Genomic DNA, 19696 nt, shown 5'->3' on the forward strand with positions numbered 1-19696 from the left:
GTTCACGTAAAAACGCCTCAGAATTAGTCATTGTAAGGATCCACAGAAATCTCAGTATGGTTTAAACCTTTGGTACCAGTTTCTTCCCTAGAACATAATTATGTCACCTGGAGTTCCCAGAGCAGGAATTTATTGCTTTCATTTTGTGCTATCCTTTTCAGTAAAGATTAGGTGAAATTGGAACAGCACTTACATGGTGACCATTTGAGTGCTTGCTATGTGCCAGGCACTGCCATCAGGCTGTGGGGATATCTGCACAAGTAGTACAGGATCTCTCTCCTCTTGGAGTTGAACTGGTATCAGGGGATCGTATACTTTGAGCTTCCTAGAAGTGACTCAGTGCCAGATCAACATGGGGAAGAAGAGGCCACTTCTCAGGGTGCAGAAGATGAGCAGTCTCAGTGATCTGCTTCTGAATCTTCCACCTTTGCTTAGGATTAAGCCCCTCTCCTGCCCACCCACCTTTTTCCCGCCTAGAAACCTGGTTGTGTGTTACCTTCTTATGAGTTATTTTCCTCTGCAGTCTGTGCTTGGTGAGTGTTGTTAGTACCTAAACACAAGTAGTGGATTTGGTGCTGGATGTTCTATAACACTCCCCTGCACCTTTTCCCCACTCTTAGTAGGGTATGGGAGTTAACTTCCTTGGGATAAGAAAACAGTAACATTGAAGATAATCATTAGCTGTTTCTCATTTGCTTGAAATTTCCCCACCACTTTGCTTCCCTGATAACACCTGTTTAAAAGGGCTCTTTAATGTGTTTTTTCTGCTTTTCTTCTCTTGTTCAAGGAAAGTCAATTTAGAAGCCAGATTCCATTTTTATCTCTTTACCCTGCAAATAGCTTCTTAGCCATTTATGGCGCAGTAAACATTGCAAAACCTGACAACCAAGAAGCAAGTTCCAACTGCTTAGAGTTTTTAAATTAAAGTGGAAATGAGACCTGACTCTCCTGTGTAAATCTGTAGCTCACTCCAGCTTTAAAAACCTTGTCCTCAGTTGCTGCTCCTAGTCCTTGCAAGATTTTCTGATAAACTCTAAGAAATTAGACTGGCCGGCCCTTCCGCTGCATCTGCTCAATGGTTTGGATATGGATGTAGCTTGTGTCCTTCTGCTCTTGCTTATTCCTTTCCTAGGAAGTATTCAATTCAGTGAGTAAGGGGCCCATTTCAGAGGATTCTGAGGGGTAGCAAGAAATATACTTTCTTTTTATTTTTTAACTTTTCATTAAAAAAAAAATCAGTCTCTGCTTATCCTTCTATTATAATAAAATATATACAACATAAAATTTACCACTTTAACCATTTTTAAGTGTACAGTTAGTCCTGTGGCAGTAAGTACGTTCACATTATTGTACAGGCATCACTATTACCAGAACTTTTTCATCACCCCACTGGAACTCCATTTTAATAAACATCAAATAATAACTGCCCATTACTCTCTCCCGCATCCCCTGGAAACCACCATTTATTGTATCGCCTTGTTTTACAAATGTACTACAATTCAAAGGTGGTACATTTATGAAATAAGGCTAAGCTTAGAGATCTGAGATTTATATTTTACTTGCTATGATTAATATTAATTTTAGGTATTCTTTTTAAAACAAATTTTAAAATTAATTGGCAAATAAACATTGTTTATATTTATCATGTACAACATATGTTTTGAAATATGTATACATTGTGAAATGGGTAAATTGAGCTAATTAACATGCATTACCTCCCATATTTTTCTTTTTTTGTGGTTAGGTATTTACTTCTGTTTTCAGTTCTGCAGCTCACTATGCCATACATTTTGCTTAGCTAATAGTAGAGACACAGCCATCTTAGGTTCTGATACTTATCTGCTTTTAGTGGTCAAAAAGGAATATGCTGGCCTCTGAGAGGCCAATTTTCCATGAGAAAATTGTTAGTCGTAGTATACTGATGAGATATGCCATCTAAATCCTTGTGGGCTGAACTCCAAGCCATTTGAGGTTTTTTTTTTGTTTTTTGTTTTTTGTTTTTGAGACGGAGTCTCACTCTGTCACCCAGGCTGGAGTTCAGTGGCATGATCTTGGCTCACTGCAACCTCTGCCTCCCGGGTTCAAGCAATTCTCCCTGCCTCAGCCTCATGAGTAGCTGGGATTATAGGTGCCCACTATCACGCCTGCCTAATTTTTGTATTTTTAGTAGAGATGGGGTTTCGCCATGTTGGCCAGGCTGGTTTTGAACTCCTGACCTCAGGTGATCCGCCCACCTCAACCTCCCAAAGTGCTGAGATTACAGGCCTGAGCCACCATGCCCAGCTGAGTTATTTTGTTTCTAAAGATACAAAACAAAAGCAGTACATATTCACTATGGAAAAGTTGGACAATATGGGTATATAATAAGAACAAAATTAAAATCTTACTACTGAAGGATACCACTATTGTATTTCTCTGTTTCTATATCTGAATCCAGTTTGAACCATACAAAATGTAATTTTGTAAAAAAAAAATCGTCAAATGTTGACAATTTTATACAATTTAGCACATACACACACAGCACACTTTCATTTGGTAATTTCCAACTTGAATTTTAGACACAGATAAGAATGTCTTCCCTCCAGAGATCAGGGATAATTTTGATAGAATATTCATTTTTTTTAGCACTTGCTCACTTGCCATGTGTTGCTGAACAATCAAGTTATTTTTAGTTACACTGCACTAAAGGAGTCTGAAGTCTGGACTAGTGATGAATTTTGCTGATCTTCCAACACTGAATCCCTCTTGAGGGAAGAGAGTATTTCTGGAACAAAGGATGGAGCCTGGGGTAGAGGAGAAGTGGGCAGCGGCATGAACTGTGCTGGGGTTAGCAGCCTCTTCCTTAATTCTGCCTCTGTGATTATCAGCTCACAGTTTATTACTTTTACTTTAATGCTGATTTTAACTGTGGGTTGTCCATAATTCATCAACAGAAATCAGCTTTATGTCATGGAGGAAATGATAAACTCTCAGTTTCTTGTTGTGTCACCTTGGGTGACACCCTTAAGCTCTCTTAGCCCATTTCCTTGCAATAAAATGGACATCATAATAGCTGCTTTACCTAGTCATGGGTAATATGAGGACTGAATGGCATCTTTTGCATGAGTGGAATTTGTAAACTGTTAAGAACCATGCATTGTTCTTACACTGGCATTTTCTATTTTGTTAAACTTAAAATTCTTTTTTTAAAGTAACAAATAAAAATTGTATGTTTATGATGTACAACATGAAGTTTTCAAATGTGTAAGTTGTGGAATGGCTCAATCAAACTAACGTGATTACCTCACGTACTTTTTTTTTTTTTTTTTTTTTTTTTTTTGAGATGGAGTTTTGCTCTGTCACCCAGGCTGGAGTGCAGTGGCACGATCTCGGCTCACTGCAACCTCCGCCTCCTGGGTTCAAGCGATTCACTTGCTTCAGCCTCCCGAGTAGCTGGGATTACAGGCGCGTGCCATCACGCCCAGCTAATTTTTGTATTTTTAGTAGAGACAGGGTTTCACCATGTTGGTCAGGCTGGTCTTGAACTCTGATCTCCTGATCCGCCTGCCTTGGCCTCCCAAAGTGCTGGGATAACAGGCGTGAACCACCACACCTGGCCTCATGTACCTTTTTTAATGGTGAGAACACTTAAAATCTACTTTCTTAGCAATCTTGACGTATGCAACACATTTTTATTTACTATGTCACCATGATCTCTTGAACTTATTGCTTCCGTCTAACTGGAATTTTCTATCCTTTTGACCATCTCCCAGTCTTCCTTCTTCCCCTTACTCTCAATCCCACTAAAAAATTCTAATTACTTTTCATTCTGTACCTTCTGGGGACTTTTGAGATAATCTTTTTAGGTCAGGGCCATGGGATCTTTTTATTTTTAGTTTCTTCATCTCTGATGCTGTATTCCGTTCTTTTTACCCTGTACCATTTTTTCTCACAACTTCCACAAAATTAGTTTATTCTTTTATCCTCCACCTAGTCACATTACTATACTTCTGGACAGCTGGTCCAGTTTGCTGATTTTTAGACTTCTTTTTACCTCATTAATTACTTCATCAAATAAGGAAGCATTTCTGAATCTGTACAGCTTTAACAGTTAGAAATAGTTGAATAACAAGAAGCTAAAATATCCAATATTAGATTATAGTCATTTGATGAACTATTATAACATTAAAAATATGTTTAGAAAGAATTGTTAATAATGTAGAAAGTGCTATCAGTGAGGAGGATACAGTTATTTTACATTATACAGAATCTCAGGTATGTATTACAGTGTGTAGAACATAGGGCTAGAAGGAAATACTCCAAAATTTAAACAAAAAGTAACCACAAACAAGTGGTTTCAGTCTCTTTGTCTTCTTATTCAGTCTGTGTCTTAGTTACCTGGTTTTGTCCCAGGTGTTTACAGAATGTGGACTCTAGGGAGAGTTAGAAAGAGAGGGATGCAGCTGAAGCAAAAACAGCTAGCAGAGATGCAAGGCATGATGTGATAGATACAAAAAGGGGGTGCAGACACATCCCGTGGTTGTTGAGTGAAGAGGGAGCTCCTTCTGGCCAGGAAAGTGGGAATTTCCAGATCTCCTAGGAATGCAGTAGAAGTTCATATTCAGTTCACACCTTGGATAAAAGCCAGGCTTAGATTCTTATAGACTCAAACAGAAAATTCCTGTGGTGCATTTGAAGCAGTATAGAATCCTGGGAATCCTGGACTGAAAATACAAAGACTTCAGTTAAATCTTTGCTCTATCACTGATTTTATCTGTGGCCTTGAGCAAGTTTTGATGCTTTGATCTTGCATTGCCTTTTATGTCACTCGTAGATGGTATATAATGCCTTCTGTGCCAGCCTCAGAATGCTGTTGTCAGAGTCAGTCGAGATACATTGATTGTGAATGCATCAGAAGGTCTATTAGTCTATTTAGATGCCATGTATTTATGATTATTATGATCGACAGGATTTGTATTCCCTATTTGTTCTATGTACTGCCTGACAGAGTGGACTCTGGCATCTGTGATTTTTCAAACTTTTTTTTCTTTTTGTTGAGACAGGGTCTCACTGTGTTGCCCAGGCTGGTCTCACCCTCCTGTGCTCAAGCAGTCCTCCCACCTCGGCCTCCCACAGTGCTGGGATTAGAGGTGTGAGCCACTGTGCCTGGCCAGCATCCACAATTTTGAGGGCATTTGTAGGTCCAGAAAATGTTAGAATCTGTGTTGGATGAGAGGCTGGACATAGATCCAAGAAAAACAAAACTAAAAACAGGCTGCCCATTAGTCTTGGGGGAAGGAAGAGAAATGTTGAACATCTAGAAACCTTAGGAAGGTCAAGAATTCTGGAACACGTATATCATTTGACCTAGTAGTTCTGCTTCTGGGAGTTTATCCTGTAGGTGTACTTGTAGTTTATCCTGTAGGTGTGCAGTATGGTGTGTGTTACAAGGTTATTTCAGCATGATTTGTAATAGCAAATATTAGAAGCAACCTATATATCCATCATTAAGGGGCAGGTTAAATAAATTTTGGCACATCCATAAAATGGAATACTCTGCAGCTATAAAAATGAATGAGGATGCACTGATCTTTAAGATAATACTCCTAAGTGGAAAAACAAGGTCTACTACAGTGCTAGAGTGTGCTACTTTTTGTGCAAAAAAAGGGAGACAAATAAGAATATAGCTTTACTGTTGCACGTGTATGCATAAGGAAACTCAGGGGGGTAGCATGAGGGTTGGGGGGATACGTTTGAGAGAGGGAAGCTTCACTGCTTTACTGTGTGTGTTATGTGTTTGTATTTTTAAAATTTTGAACCATGTAAATATAGTACTTATTCACAAACTTAAATTTAAAAGTTTTTTTAAAATTTTTTAAACGAAAGAAACTCTTTGCAATTGGAAGGCAAGTGAGGTGGAAGACACATTGAATGGTTGCTATATGCCAGGTCATATCCATGGAAATTTATTTGAATAAGAGAACCATTTGTTTCTTTTAGGTTTATGGTCAAGGTTTAAAAAGAAATGTTTTAAGCTCACCAGGAAGATGCCCATTATTGGTCGTAAGGTAAGTAGAATCTGTGTATGTCATTTTTTCCCCTCTTGATAATCATACCTCTTTCTTTCTATTTACTAAACCTAATATTCTCAAAGTGGAGGGGTGATTTTGTCTCTTACCTCCAGGGGACACTTGGCAGCATTTGGAGACATTTTTGGTGGTCACAGCTTGGATGGAGGGGTGCTCTTGGCATGTAATGGATCGTGTCCAGAAATGCTGCTAAACACTAAACATCCTACAGTGTACAGGGCAGCCCCCCCCCACCCACCAAACACAGAATTATCTGGCTGGAAATGTCAAAATGGCCAAGGTTGAGAACCCTGACTTAACCCTTTCTCCAATGTAACTGGCCAAAGGAGAGATGAGAAGCCTGTTAAGGAAGTAAGAATTTGAGAAAACCTGACTGTATTGTTAGGTGCTTTGGAACAACATGCAGCTGGCTGACTTTAGGTATTTATCTAGGAGTTGGGTGCTTACATGGTTTAGGTCAGGGGTCGGCAAATGTTTTCTATAAAGGGCTAGATATGAAACATTTTGGGCTCTGTAGGCCATATCATTTCTGTTGCAACTCCTCACCTCTGCCCTTGCAGAGGGACAGCAGCAAGAGGTTCAGGAATGAGCCTGGCTATATTCCAGTGAAACTTTCTTTACGAATTCAGGTAGGCCTTTGTTGGTTCCTGGCTGTAGTTTGCTGATCCCAAGTTGCACAGCGCTGTCTCTTGCTGTTTGCAATTTTCTGTATTGTAGTATGTCCCCTTTGTTATGTCCTCTTGGCCCTCATCCATGTTGAGGATAAGGTAGTCACCTCTGTGCGTCTCCCACAGGTTATCCCAGATGAAGATAAACAGGGCAGGCCACTTGGCAAGCTCTAAGGAAGGCATATGAGTCCTTGGAATCTTCATCTCCTCCAGTGCCCTCCCCTGACCCCCCTTTGGTCTTTCCCAACTTTACCTGCCTTTAAGTTTTCTTCTACTTTTGGCTTTCAGTTCCCTTTCCTGGCTATACCAGGGTTTGTTTGCCAACCCCTGACCTAAAGTTGGCCAGTTATCTTTAACCTTTGGCTGAAATCCATTCAGATCGCTGTGCTAACTCTCCCAGAGATAGGTATCTTCAGGTTCATTTCCTGTAGGAGAGTGGGAGCAATAACAGGTGGTGAAGGGAAATGTGAGCATATAGGCTTCTGTTTGCTCTCCAAATTATATTAATCCCTAAAAGTAAATCTAGTCCTTACAGAGTATAAGGGGTGGGGACAGGGAAGGTATTGTAGAAGATGGACTGTAGCACAAAGGAGATTAGGATTTCCCCTTATCTCCTGAATTTTTTTTTCTTCTTTTCGTTCAGTTTTCAGACTTTGAGACAAATAAATGCTAGGGTTCCAGAACCCACTCTTAAACTTAGAAAGTAACAGAATTGGAAGATCCTTAGCTTGCCAAGGACTATCCAATCACTCTCCATTTTTCAGAAACAGATTCTGAGGCTTAGATACAAAAAATTACATGTGTGTATGTGTGTGTGTGTGTGTGTGTGCGCGCGCACGCGTGTGTGTATACCTCTGTCATTTATTCACTTAACACATGCTTATTGAGCCACCTGCTCAGTGTCAAGTACTTTTCTGGGTGCTGGGGATATGGTGGTGAACAAGACCAAATCCTTCCTCTCATGGAACTTACATTTTAATAGGAAAGACAGAAAATAAAGAAGTAAACAAATATGTGGAATTTTATTTTGAAATAAATGCTTTGAAGAAATTAAAATTGGGTAACGTAATACAGGCTTTGAGGCAAGAATTGGGGGTAAGGAAGTACTTGTGCTTTCTAATATACCTCTCTGTCACTTTTTGTCTGTTTTATGGCAATAGCATACTCTATGTATGGAAGCTCAGCTTTCATAGCCTGTTCTGTTGCATGAGTCGCCATTTATGTGAATTAATTTTTTAATTTACAACTTAAAAAATGTCTTCACATCCATAGCATGCCCAGGCATTGCCCAGGAGTGTAGCCTCTGCTCCCTGCCAGTGTGGGCCTCTTAGACTATTGCAGACATGCTCGAAAGGAGTGGCTTTCCCTGTGGTTTCACTGAGGGCCATATCTAAGAAGATCTTCTTGTATTCTAATTATCCTTGGCTAGAGATGAGAAAATCTTAGTGTGGAGTGAGTTCTGGCGTTCTTTAACAAATATATTGCTGAAACAATAGCACTGTGACAAATCGTGACATGTAGCTTCTCTCCCCAAACCTACTACCCAAGAGCCTTTTGCTATAAGCAGCAGCCCCTGCCCTTCTGCCTCCTTACTCTGCTATTTTTTTTCCCTCAGCACTTTTTGTTACCTGTCTTACTATTTTCTGTCTCTCCTGCTGAAAATAAACTTCATGAGGACAGGAGGTTTTTTTTCCTGTGTGCTCCATTGCCTAAGTTTGTTTTGTTCACTATGTGTCCCTGGCCTGCATATTTGTGAATATGCAGTGAATATGAATGTGAATATGTAAGTGAATAAAAGAAAACAGCTCAGAAGCTGTGGCTTTGAGGATGGAAAAGAAGGGAACCATAGTTGATAAACTACCTAGCAGAAAGGACCTTAGTTCCTTTTAATATTTTGGGGTCAGACAGTGCAAGCTGTCGACAGCAGCTTAAGGAGATACATTAGAGTCTTCCTGGCAGTTCTTAGAATGCCTTGTGCTAGTGTTGAATGGGACCTCCAAATTCCTAGTGTGCTGCGTGTATGTCTGTTGAAGGAGCTCATCACTTGCACAAGGACCAGAATCACTTTTACTGCAGCATGGCCAGTTTTCTGGCCACTGTTCCTAGTTATACCTTTGATTCTTTTACACACACACTGTAGCTGCTGCCAAGGCAGGATCAAAGTCCAAATACTGCCCTCAAGGATGTGCTGACTTTAGCAATGCCAACCAAGTGAAGCAGCAGTGATGTCAATGTGGCAGAGAAAAGGGTTATGGGGAAATTGGGTGCAACTTTTTTTTTTTTTTTTTTGAGACAGAGTCTTGCTCTGTTGCCCAGGCTGAATGGAGTACAGTGGTGTGATCTTGGCTCACTGCAACCTCCACCTCCTGGGTTCAAGTGATTCTCATGCCTCAGCCTCCCAAGTAGCTGGGATTACAAATGCCTGCTACCATGCCTGGCTAATTTTTGTATTTTTAGTAGAGATGGGGTTTCACCATGTTGGCCAGGCTGGTCTCGAACTCCTGACCTGTAATGATCTGCCCACCTCGGCTTCCTGAAGAGCTGTGATAATAGGTGTAAGCCACCGCGACCGGCTGAGTGCATCTTGACCTTTAGAGAGAAGCTTCGCTTTTCAAATTTTTAAGAGGCTATTGTACATGCCAGAAAGTAGCTGATCAGTCAGAATATCACCATATATCTTTAGGAAAAATGTTAGTTTAGTTACTTGTGCGGTGCCTAGCATTGAGCAGTTGCTTGACTGTCATAATAATTCTGCTGTCTCTACTGTACTCTTGCATCTGGATAACTTTGTCTTTCTTACCTTTGGAGATTCAAGACAAGTTGAACAAGACCAAGGATGATATTAGCAAGAACATGTCATTCCTGAAAGTGGACAAAGAGTATGTGAAAGCTTTACCCTCCCAGGGTCTGAGCTCATCTGCTGTTTTGGAGAAACTTAAGGAGTACAGCTCTATGGGTATGATGCTTGGCATATACATGCTCTCTACTTCCTTAAAGAGACAGGTTTTGTCATTGTTTAATGTTCACATAGGTTAAGAATAACTCATCATTGGTTAATACATGTTTAGGAGGGCCTACTCTCTGTTTCACAGGTTGAATTTCCTATTTTTAAAATTATGTTTAGATTCATCCTTCATCCATAAAGCAAGCAAATCTCAGAGACAGTGGAACTTGGCTTTTATTTCCTTTTGTAAGCATGAATAAAACAAATATATTTGTGTTTAAGAAGAGAGAATATAAGATATGTAATACAAATGAAATACAGATCCATGTAAAAATGTGAAATCTGCATAAAGGCACAAAAGAAAATAAGTCACTATAATTCCACTATCAAAGATAAACAGATGGTGTCTATCTTTATGCATGTAGCTATAGGTAGAGCTGTCTATATAGTTTACATCTATCTATATATGTATATCTGTCTGTTTCTGAGAATGCTAATAGTGTTTGTCTGTGTGTATACACATGTATGCATGAGCACATATGGGATGGATAAATAGACCAAATAGCTTGGTGCTTAAGAGCGTAACCCTGGAACCAGCCTGGATTCATACCTTGGTTTGCCACTTAAAGTATGCCTTTGGCGAGTTACTTCTGTATGTCACAGTTCCTGTATCTCTACAATGGGGATAGTAATAGTAGTACAGTACTTACCTGAAAAGATGATTATGGGGATTAAATGAGATCATACATGTATAAATGTTTTATAGTGCCTGGCATATAGTAAGGATTCAGTAAATGTTAAACATTATTGCTATTATTAACTCAAACAGATTTATGTTTGTTACTGATTAAGATCATATTACAAGTACTTTTTAAAAAGAAGCTTTTTAGTTTGATATATTTACAGAAAAGTAGCAAAGATGATAGAGATTTCCCTATACCCAGCTTCTCCTGATGTTAACATCCTCTATAACCATGGTACGTTTATCAAAACTAAAAAATTAACATTGGTACAGTGCTATTAACTACACTACAAATTCTATTTCTAGTTCATCAGGGTTTTTTTTTGTTTTGCTATGTTTTGTTTTAAACTAATGTTCTTTTTTCTATTCTAGGAGCCAACCAGGAGCCATGTTGCATTTTGACAAATACCCTTATTTTTTATTTTTTGAGACAGAGTCTCACTGTGTTGCCCAGGCTGGAATGCAGTGGTGTGATCTCAGCTCACTGCAACTTCCACCTTCCAGGCTTAAGCAATTCTCGTGCCTCAGCCTCCCAAGTAGCTGAGATTACAGGCGTGCGGCACCATACCCAGCTAATTTTTTGTGTTTTTAGTAGAGATAAGATTTCACCATGTTGCCCAGGTTGGTCTCGAACTCCTGAACTCAGGTGATCTGCCCACCTTGGCCTCCCAAAGTGCTAGGATTACAGGTGTGAGCCACTGTGCTCGGCCTTGACAAATACCCTTACAATTTCTAAGTGACATGTGTTGAGGTCTTGACATTGAATAGTACAAAATTTGATATAGTCTAGGATGTAGATGAATAAAGCAGTGGTTAGCACTCTAAAACCTGGTGTTAAAGATTTCCATGATTATGAGACCTGGTTGCCGCCATCATATTGCCTTCTCTTTAATGTTTAAGTCACTGTCCATTGCTGTATTCTCTAGCATCAGTAAAAGAACAGGAAATGAAACCAGTTATCTTATTTTTGAAAGGCTGGTGACCACTGGTCTGAAGCTGTGTATAGTACAGAGCAGTGTCCTCTAAGGAAAGAGTGAAAGTCAAACGGGCAGCAAGCCAGAGCTTGGCAGATTGCTGTAAGAATGAGTTTGTCTGTATATTTACCACTTAGTTTTCTGTTCTCAAGAGCTGAAGATCTTTGCTTTGGAGAGCCCTTGGCTCCATGCAGTTTTTAGTTGGTGTGTTTCCGTAATAGCTTTCTCACTACCCACTTTCAATAGGGCACAGCTGCATTGTAGCACAAGGACCTGAGACACCCATATCAACAAATTTGTGGGTAAAATGAAGAATGTCTCGGGGAGAGAGGAAAGTGGAAAGTCAGATCTTATATTCTACTCAGGAACTTTACTTTTCTTTCCACACTGGGATAAAGGAGGTTTATCCCAATGTTGACTGTGTTCCTGATCTTGAATATGCTACAGCGTGTGCTGCTGGAAGCAGGTAACTAGTTTTATGTGGGTTTCCAGGCTTGGCTTAAGGGAGCCGGCGTCTGAGACCGGGGTGCTCATGGTTTATACCTCATTGTGGTTTGTTTGCTGGTTTCATCTCTGATGATAGTGTGCTGAAATTTCACACTTTTCATTTTGCTTTCTTCTGCCAACTCTGCTCATAATAGTTCTCAAAATTCCTAGGACTGGATAGGAAAGGAGAGAAGAAGGAAGCTATTGCAGAAAAAGGCCACTCCAAAGCCATATAGAGAACAAAAAATAAGTATAGACAAAGGCAAATGTTCCTGCTGTTAGAAGGCAGTTGAGGATGAGGACAACATTATTATCAGATTGCCTTTATTGTAGCTAAATGCTATTAATATCTTTTTCACATTGCTGATAATAATGATTTTTCATCTTTATTTTATTGTGCTAACTCTATTGAACTTTTTTCTTGATTTGCTATAAGAATGCTGTTGGGTTTCCACTCAACATTTTTTTCTTTTGTATCCAGAGGAGTTTCTTCCTGTTTCTTCTTTATCAGAACCTGTCTTCCCAGAGATTCTTGCTTACTGACCAGTGACCTTACCTTTCTCTGCAGACGCCTTCTGGCAAGAGGGGAGAGCCTCTGGAACAGTGTACAGTGGGGAGGAGAAGCTCACTGAGCTCCTTGTGAAGGTGAGTGTCCAGTTCTTGAGGGAAGCCTGTGAGGTCTGTGCCAGTTTACATGACCTCCTTTTTTTCCCTTACTTTTGTAATTAGAAAAATTACTTAAGGAAAGCTTATTGGTACAATAAAACCATAAAAGTTTCTCTTCACCCAAACATAGGCGAATATGTATAATATTATCAAAGACATCTTCAGTCTGTAAAATAGTAAAATGTTATTTATGTTTTCAGTCTTTGCAGATGTCCTGTCTAGAAGGCAGATTACTAGGGAAGGTAGTCCTGTCAGATGAGATTTTTGTGGTGAGACAGATTTTGTTTGATAAGAAGAGATAAGATAGGGAAACTCTTTCATAATTTTCTCAAATCATGTGACCCAAGATGAGCAGTGGTCTCATGTATACTTCAAATAATTCTCATTCTTAGCTTCTTCCATTTCTAATCAAATTTATTTTTATTTTATTTTATTATTTTTACAGACAAAGTCTCACTCTGTCACACAGGCTGGAGTGGAGTGGTGTAATCATGGCTCACTTCAGCCTTGACCTCTTTGGCTCAAGTGATCCTCCCACCTCAGCCTCCTGAGTAGTTGGGACTACAGGCGTGCATCATGACACCCAGCTAATTTTTGTATTTTTTTGTTGGAGATGGGGTCTCACTCTGTTGCCCAGGTTGGTCTTCAACTCCCAGCCTCAAGTGATCCTCCTGCCTTGGCCTCTGAAAGTGTTGAGATTACAGCTGTGAACCACTGCACTCGGCCCTCATATTTATTTTTGAAACTCCACTTCATCATATAAAATTGGGGTTGTACTGATGATCTCTAAGGTCTTTGTGTTTGATTATTATAAATATGAAACTGTCCCTTACTAAATAAATATGGCAGGTTTTGCATAAGTTGGTGTAATGCTCTGATCTTCTGTGCTTAAAATCTTTCAGTAGCTTCCCATTATCTACAGGATGAAACTCAGGTTCTTATGCAGCAGAGAATACAAGTTTCTTCATGAGCCAGCTCCCACTTATTTTTTCTTAACTACTTCTCTTCATTTCCCACATAAACACTAATCCTGCCTTTTCTCTTTACTAAATGTGTCATGCTTTTACGTTGTTTTCCTTCCCTTCCATCATTCCTCTTGTTCCAAATGATGATTCCTACTCATCTCTCAAAGTTCCACTCAGCAGACACCTCTAGATCACTCAGGATGTTAGTTGTTCCCTCTTCAGGGTCCCTTAGCACTCTGTACACACACCTGATATTGCAGTCGATAACAACAGCTGCTTTGTGCCAGACACTCTACTAAGTGCTTCACATGCATTATGTTATTTAATTATTGCTAGAACACTAGAAGATAGCTACCATAACAACTTCTGCGTATGAAGAAACAACCTTAGATTATGTGACCTACACAGCTGAAAGTAATAGGCAAAGCTTAGACTTCCTCCTGGGTCGGTTTGGTGTTATAGTCTGCGCTTTTAACCATATTTATACTTCTTTCCTCATCACATTGTAAAATTATTTATTTACATGTCTGTCTCCTCTGCTATGTTTTGATCTTTTGGTTGAGGAATATATCTTATCTTTTTTTCCAGTTTATATTGTTGTGCCTAATACTTAGAAACTGTTGTTTAGTGCATGATTCTTTGTCCTGTATAGTGTAATAGTTTTGATTTCACATCTGCTTGCATTTTTTTGCAGGCTTATGGAGATTTTGCATGGAGTAACCCCCTGCATCCAGATATCTTCCCAGGACTACGCAAGATAGAGGCAGAAATCGTGAGGATAGCTTGTTCCCTGTTCAATGGGGGACCAGATTCGTGTGGATGTGTAAGTATATGCAAGGGGCATCCAATAGCCTTATTTTTTAGGTTAAAATAGAAGAGTTTTTAATAAATATTAATTATATTTTAAAAAATAAAAAATATTAAAAATATTTTACTACACAAGAAATATTTGATCATTGTAGAAAGGTCATTTTACTACACAAGGAATATTTGATCATTGTAGAAAGATCCTAATTAACTGCAGTTTTAAATGTTACTTGTAATTTTGTAACCTAGACAATGTCAACATTTTGGTATATATTCTTCTAGATATTTTTATTTTCACCTTTTTATTTTGAAAAACTTTGAACCTACATTGAGTTGCTAGGATGGCTTAAAGAACACCTTAGATTCACTAAATGTAAATATGTTGCCATATCTGCTCTCTACACTCTTTCCCTCCCTACCCGCTTCTTCCCTCATCCCCCACCTGCATACCTACCATTCCCCTATTTATCTGTGTATACTTTTGTTGTTCCATCCAGCAGTGTTTTTAGTGTACTTCTGGTTTTACCTGAGCCAAAGTTTAATTTATTATTTTGCTGTAAACTGAACCTCATTTAGTTGCTATTAGGCATAAAGAAAGGGGGAGGACATCATTATATTTAAAGAAACACATGAGGATTCTTTGTTTTACCTGTTCTTTCAAGTAGATGGTTGTTAGTTTTCGTAAACTATGATAGATAAACTTCTGTTTAGATCTGTTGTCTTTAGAAAAAACGAAATCTCAGGTTATGTAGGATAGATAGATTTAACTCAATATGCTGCAATGGTGTCCTAGAGGTGCTAATCCTATCAGATACTCATCATATTTGCAGTCATTATAAAGACTGCAGATTTAATTATTGAAGGGCCCATTCGAAGAGCACCTAATTTAGTTTCTTTTTTTTTTTCCAGGAAGCATTGTTTTTGTTTTGTTTTTCTAATATGTTGGCGCCATGAAAATCATCATGTTCAAATATTAGTAGTAATAAAGGTGATATGCCTGGCATTCATTTTCAAAGCAAAATACTGAAACTGTTAAAAACAGAACCACCCATAATACAGCAGCAGTTTCCCTTAGAGTACTGAGGTGAACAGGGTGACTTTCAGAGGGAAGATGATAATGTACTTACAGTATATTCTCCTATGCCATTAGACTCTTGAAGAACTTGTAAGAGGCCAGAGTGAATAGCCACAGAACAGTTTGGCCTTATCTGGTAAATTTGAAGATACATATATCTTATGACCCAGAAATTCTGCTACTAGGACATACTCTAGAAAAATTAGTACACATATATATCAGGATATATGGACATTAATATTCATAGCAATGTTATTCATGATAGCTAAAAACTGGAAGTAATTCAAATGCCTATCCACAGGACACAGATGAATAAATTGTGGAATGCTGTGTGTGCCTCAATCCATTGTAGCTCTTATTCAGATTGATGTACAAATTGCCTCATCCATCTTTGGCCAGTGGAAACATCATATTGGCTCCTAGGTCCATTTACATGACCCAAGTAATCTTTGAAAGCCTTTTTTCTCTTTCTTTCCTTTTTTTTTTTTTTTTGACGAAATATTCCAGGTTCAGGTTCACTTTGTCCATTTCCTGCTCCAGGCCTTCAATCAGCCATTTATCCAAGGAGCCCTGGTTCATTTAAAACTAGGTAAAATAATTACATAGTTCCAAAATCACATTTATGGAACAAGACAGATTAAAAAAAAAAAGTTAACCAGAATGCAGTCCAGAGAGACAAAGAAATAGAAGGTATGAAAGAGAGGCTAAGAGATGCAAAGGATAGGATGAGAAGGCTAACACACATCTAACTGGTGTTTGAGAGCAGCCAGAGAAAATAGATTACCTACAAAGGCATAACTGTTAGGACAACTGATACTCAATAGCAACGATGGCTGGGGCAGTTGGGGGTAGATGAAAGATTGGCTGTAAATTGAAAATTGCTGGAGCCTGGTGATAAGTAGTGAGAGGTCACAGCGTGCTGGCAGTCCTCACAGCCCTCGCTCGCTCTCGGCGCCTCCTCTGCCTGGGCTCCCACTTTGGCGGCACTTGAGGAGCTCTTCAGCCCACCGCTGCACTGTAGGAGCCCCTTTCTGGGCTGGCCAAGGTCGGAGCCGGCTCCCTCAGCTTGCAGGGAGGTGTGGAGGGAGAGGCGTGAGCCGGAACCAGGGCTGCGCGCAGCGCTTGCGGGCCAGCTAGAGTTCCCGGTGAGCATGGGCTTGGCGGGCCCCGCACTCGGAGCAGCCGGCCGGCCCTGCCGGCCCCGGGCAATGAGGGGCTTAGCACCCAGCCAGCAGCTGCGGAGGGGGTTCTAGGTCCCCCAGTAGTGCCGGCCTACCGGCACTGCGCTCGATTTCTCGCTGGGCCTTAGCTGCCTTCCCCTGGGGCAGGGCTCGGGACCTGCAGCCCGCCATGCCTGAGCCTCCCACCCCCTCCGTGGGCTCCTGTGTGGCCCCAGCCTCCTTGACGAGCGCCACTCCCTGCTCCACGGCGCCCAGTCCCATCGACCACCCAAGGGCTGAGGAGTGCAGGCGCACAGCGCAGGACTGGCAGGCAGCTCCAGTCCTGCAGGCAGCTCCACCCGCAGCCCCGGTGCGGGATCCACTGGGTGAAGCCAGCTGGGCTCCTGAGTCTGGTGGAGCCTTGGAGAACCTTTATGTGTAGCTCAGGGATTGTAAATACACCAATCGGCACTCTGTATCTAGCTCAAGGTTTGTAAACACACCAATCAGCACCCTGTGTCTAGCTCAGGGTTTCTGAGTGCACCAATCGACACTCTGTATCTCGCTGCTCTGGTGGGGGCTTGGAGAACCTTTGTGTGGATACTCTGTATCTAACTAATCTGATGGGGACGTGGAGAACCTTTGTGTCTAGCTCAGGGATTGTAAACGCACCAATCAGCGCCCTGACAAAACAGACCACTTGGCTCTACCAATCAGCAGGATGTGGGTGGGGCCAGATAAGAGAATAAAAGCAGGCTGCCAGAGCAAGCAGTGGCAACACGCTCGGGTCCCCTTCCACACTGTGGAAGCTTTGTTCTTTCGCTCTTTGCAATAAATCTTGCTACTGCTCACTCTTTGGGTCCACGCTGCTTTTATGAGCTGTGACACTCACCACGAAGGTCTGCAGCTTCACTCCTGAAGCCAGTGAGACCACGAGCCCACCGGGAGGAACGAACAACTCCGGACGCGCTGCCTTAAGAGCTGTAACACTCACTGTGAAGGTCTGCAGCTTCACTCCTGAGCCAGCGAGACCACGAACGCACCAGAAGGAAGAAATTCCGGACACATCCGAACATCAGAAGGAACAAACTCCAGACGTGCTACCTTAAGAGCTGTAACACTCACCGCGAGGGTCCGCGGCTTCATTCTTGAAGTCAGTGAGACCAAGAACCCACCAATTCCGGACACAGTAGAAGCCCATTGGGCTTTTCAATTTTATTTACTCTAATTTCATTCTAAAGAATTCTGTTTTGTAGTTCTCCTTTTATTTTATTATTATTTTTTGAGACAGGGTGTCACTCTGTTGCTCAGGCCAGAGTGTAGTGGTGCCATCTCAGCTCACTGCAGCCTTGACCTCTCTGGGCTCAAGCGACCCTCCCACCTCAGCCCCCTTGAGTAGCTGGGACTACAGGCATGCACCACCATGCCTCGCTAATTTTTGTATTTTTAGTAGAGATGGGGTTTCACCATGTTGCCCAGGCTGGTGTTGAACTCCCAAGCTGAAGTGATCTGCCTGCCTTGGCTTCTCAAAGTGCTGGGATTACAGGCGTAAGCCACCACGCTTGGCCGTCTTTTTTTTTTTTTTTTTTTTTTAATCTGCTTGGTTGTTTTTTATAGTCCTTTTCCTTGGCTTAACTTTTGTTTACTTAAATATATTACACATAAATATGTTGTATTCTGTGTCTGATAATTCCAATATCCATGAGCCTTACCTGATTCTGCTGGCTTCAGTCATGGTTCCTTGTTTCCTTATATTTGTGATTTTATTTTATTTATTTATTTTTTTATGAGCCACTCATTTTTCTGGGAACCTAGGGATTCTTTGAGGCCTAGATTGAAGTTAAGTCTGGAAGTTCTCTTCTTCCAGAGAAGATTTGTCATACCTTTTTGAGTTGCTGGGGATTGCCACCACACTGGAACCAAATTAAGTCAAATCCTTAGCTTGTCATTTTGTACCACAGAGGTAGTGTGAATTCTGACCACAAACTCACATAAAGGCTTCCTTGTTACACATTCTTGAAAGATTGCTATTTTTCTTTACTTGAACATCAGGGTTGAGAAAAACAGTTTTTCTTTTCTCTTTTGCAGTAGTGGGATTTATTTCTTGTACACTGTAGAGTGTGGTCTTTTTCCAGCCATCTCCTGTTGGACTCCTTATCTTGGGCAGTCTCTAATGTATCTTCTGGTCCATCCTTTGCTCATCTGTCAGTGTAGGAGTTTGAAGTCTGAAGGGTCTGGTGCCACCTCAGGGTGAAAGCTAGTTTTGCCACTCACTTATCTTGCAGGATTCTTGATTTTGCTTTGTTTGGGGGTTTAGCAAGTTTCTTTATGTTAGGTTAGTGATAGGTTTAAATTTTTTTTTTTTGATGTTTTATCAAGTTTTTTAGTTATTTCAGTTAGGAAGGTTGCTCAAGGTATATAATATTGCTAGAAATAGAAGTTCCATAATTGTTTTTTCCATGTTACAGACCTTCGTCTATTTGAAAGCCCCTTTCTCCCTGAATCTTCTCTGCCCCACATTTTTCTGGGTTACTCCGCTTTTCATATGATTTCACAGACTTCCAACCATCGCAGTCATTCTCTGTATGACTTTTGGTTGCCTCTGGCCAGATTGAACACAGTTCTCCACATTTGGAGTGGCATTGATCTTTCAATCTCTGTCTTTTTTAAATCTGGGTTCAATAAACTTATTTCAGACCTTTTCCTTGAAGTCAGCATTTTTATTCTTGGCAATGTTTATTTTATTCCTTGCTGTTCCTAATGTCTTTGTTAGTTCTGTATGGATGCTACTGGCTTTGTTTTTTTAGGTCTGTAGCTCATTCTTTTTGTTTCATGGTCTAGGTTTTGAACTCTTTGTTTTCTTAAATTCATGTTCTTATGATATTTTCCTATAGTGAGAAAGTTATAAGGGGTTTCCTTCATCCCTTAGCTTGTTTCCTTCTGTGTTGGGTTTTTATTTTGCATGCTACATACTACCTTTTCCCCTGCCTTTTAGTTTGTTTGCATAGTTTCCTTGCCATTTTCTCTCATCTTGGGGTGGCATTCTCCAGACATTGTTCTTATGCACTGTGGGTGCTTCCTGTCTGAGACCATTTGGCTGGGGACAAAGCTCAGCCAAAGCTTTGTTCTATCTGTATTAGA

The 19696-nt window shown here is 40.5% G+C and overlaps 1 protein-coding gene across 8 annotated transcripts in view; it reads left to right on the plus strand.

Annotated features, from left to right (window-relative positions):
• The window catches only part of SGPL1 (sphingosine-1-phosphate lyase 1), a 65237-nt gene that overhangs the window by 29216 nt on the left and 16325 nt on the right, over positions 1-19696 (plus strand). For 7 of the 8 annotated variants that reach the window (NR_199385.1, NM_001438357.2, NM_001438355.1 and 4 more), the window contains 4 exons: positions 5980-6047; positions 9545-9692; positions 12451-12527; positions 14208-14336. Coding sequence is in view for 7 of the 8 variants with exons in the window: in NM_001438357.2 (NP_001425286.1) it covers positions 5980-6047; positions 9545-9692; positions 12451-12527; positions 14208-14336 (422 nt within the window). In the remaining variant the exon portion in view is untranslated. Of the gene's footprint in view, positions 1-5979; positions 6048-9544; positions 9693-10624; positions 10658-12450; positions 12528-14207; positions 14337-19696 lie in introns of all 8 variants that reach the window. The other variant, NM_001438353.1, reaches the window with a different exon arrangement.

The sequence above is a fragment of the Homo sapiens genome, chromosome 10 (genome assembly GCF_000001405.40).
Source record: "Homo sapiens chromosome 10, GRCh38.p14 Primary Assembly".
In the NCBI taxonomy this organism is placed as follows: Eukaryota; Metazoa; Chordata; class Mammalia; order Primates; family Hominidae; genus Homo; species Homo sapiens.